The 2,276-nt window shown below is 48.0% G+C and overlaps 1 annotated feature.

The window, feature by feature from the left end:
- Window positions 225-1,424: an enhancer, noted in NCBI's record as "CDK7 strongly-dependent group 2 enhancer chr11:78333374-78334573 (GRCh37/hg19 assembly coordinates)". NCBI's record gives its function as "activates an origin of replication core promoter dependent on BRD2, BRD4, P300/CBP, MED14 and CDK7 cofactors, with strong dependence on CDK7, by STARR-seq in HCT116 cells {active_cell/tissue: HCT116}" and the evidence as "EXISTENCE:reporter gene assay evidence [ECO:0000049][PMID:35650434]".

The raw sequence follows: 2,276 nt of genomic DNA, 5'->3' as shown, positions 1-2,276 counted from the left end.
TCTAAGCCAACAGAACATAATGTTACGGGAACAGGAACCAAAAATGTTGCTTGTGGATCACTAGGGGTGATGGTCAGTGGTGCCACTTCCACTTCCACCCCTTCATTCCTGGACCCATGAATCCTGGCTATGGGAGAAGCAGTACTATACATTGGATGCTGATTCAGGGCATACACGGCCTTCTGGAGAACTTTGCCCCAGCCCTGCAAAGTATTGTCACCTAGTTGGCATTGTAATTGTGACTTCAAAAGGCCATTCCACCATTCTATCAATCCAGCTGCTTCAGGATGGTGGGAAACATGGTAAGATCAGTGAATTCCATGAGCATGAGCCAACTGCCACACTTCTTTAGCAGTAAAGTGAGTGCCTTGGTCAGAGGCAATACTGTGTGGAATACCATGACGGTGGATAAGGCATTCTGTTAGTCCATGGATGGTAGTCTTGGCAGAAGCATTGCGTGCAGGATAGGCAAACCCATATCCAGAGTAAGTGTCTATTCCAGTGAGGACAAACCTCTGCCCTTTCCATGATGGAAGAGGTCCAATATAATCAACCTGCCACCAGGTAGCTGGCTGATCACCCAAGGAATGGTGCCACATCGAGGGCTCAGTGTTGGTCTCTGCTGCTGGCAAATTGGGCACTCGGCAGTGGCTGTAGCCAGATCAGGCTTGGTGAGTGGACGCCCATGTTGCTAAGCCCATGCGTAATCTCCATCCCTGCCACCATGGCCACGTTGTTCATGGGCCCATTGCGTGATGACAGGAGTGGCTGGGGAAAAAGGCTAAGTGGTGTCCACAGAATGGGTCATTCTATCCACTTGATTATTAAAATTCTCCTCTACTGAGGTCACCCGCTGGTGAGCACTCACATGGGATACAAATATCTTCACAGTTTTTGATGATTCAGGTCCATCCACATACCTCTCCCCCAGATTTCTTTGTCACCAATTTTCCAATTGTGGTTTTTCCAAGTCCCTGACCATCCAGCCAAACTATTGGCTACAGCCCATGAATCAGTATATAATCACATATCTGGCCATTTCTCCCTCTATGCAAAGTGCACAACCAGGTGCACCACTCGAAGTTCTGCCCACTGGGAAGATTTCCCTTCACTGCTGTAATTCAGGGATGTCCTAGAAAGGGGCTGTAGTGCTGCAGCTGTCCACTTTCAGGTGGTGCCTGCATATCATGCAGAACCATCTGTGAACCAGGCCCTAGTCTTCTCTTTCTCTGTCAGCTGATCATAGAGAACTCCCCATGAGGCCATCTGTGCAGGCTGGGGGAGAGAAGGCAGGGTGGCAGGAGTGAAGACCTTGGGCATTTGAGCCACTTCTTCATGTAACTTACTTGTGCCTTCAGGACGTGCTTGAGCCCAGTCACATATATACCACTTCCACTTGATGATAGAATGCTGCTGCTCATGACCCACTTTATGGCTAGATGAGTTAGAAAGCACCCAGTTCATGACAGACAGTTCAGATCACATGGTGACTTGATAACCCATAATCAAACGTTCAGTTTCCAACAAATCCCAGTAACAGGCCAAGAGCTGTCTCTCAAAAGGAGAATACTTATCTGCAGAAGATGGCAGGGACTTGCTCCAAAATCCTAGAGGTGTCCACTGTGATTCACCTATGGGGGGGCCTGCCAAAGACTCCAAACAGCATTCCTATCTCCCACTGACACCTCAAGCACCGTTGGATCTGCTAGGTCATATGGCCCAAGTGGCAGAGCAGCTTGCACAGCAGCCTGGACCTGTTGCAGAGCCTTCTCTTGCTCTGGACCCCAGTCAAAACTGGAAGCTTTTCAGGTCACTCGATAAATGGGCCAAAGTAACACCCAAATGAGGAATGTGTTGCCTCCAAAATCCAAATAGGATCACTAGGCGTTGTGCCTCTTTCTTGGTTGTAGGAGGGGCCAAGTGCAGCAACTTAACCTTAGAAGGCATATCTTGCCAGGCCCCATACCACTGGACCCCTAGAAATTTTACTGAGGTAAAAGTTCCCTGAATTTTACTCAGATTTATTTCCCATCCTCTGGCACACAAATATTTCACCAATAAGTCCAGTGTGTTTGCTATTTCTTGCTCACTGGATCTAATAAGCATAATGTCATCAATGTAATGGACCAGTGTGATAGCTTGTGGAAGCGAAAAGCAATCATGGTCTCTCCAAATAAGATTATGACACAAACTGGAGAGTTGATATACCCCTGAGGTAGGACAGTAGAGGTATATTGCTGGCCTTGCCTGCTGAAGGCAAATTGCTTCCGGTGAGC

The sequence above is a fragment of the Homo sapiens genome, chromosome 11 (assembly GCF_000001405.40).
Source record: "Homo sapiens chromosome 11, GRCh38.p14 Primary Assembly".
Classification (NCBI taxonomy): domain Eukaryota; kingdom Metazoa; phylum Chordata; class Mammalia; order Primates; family Hominidae; genus Homo; species Homo sapiens.
This window is presented reverse-complemented; position numbering and strand designations above follow the sequence as displayed.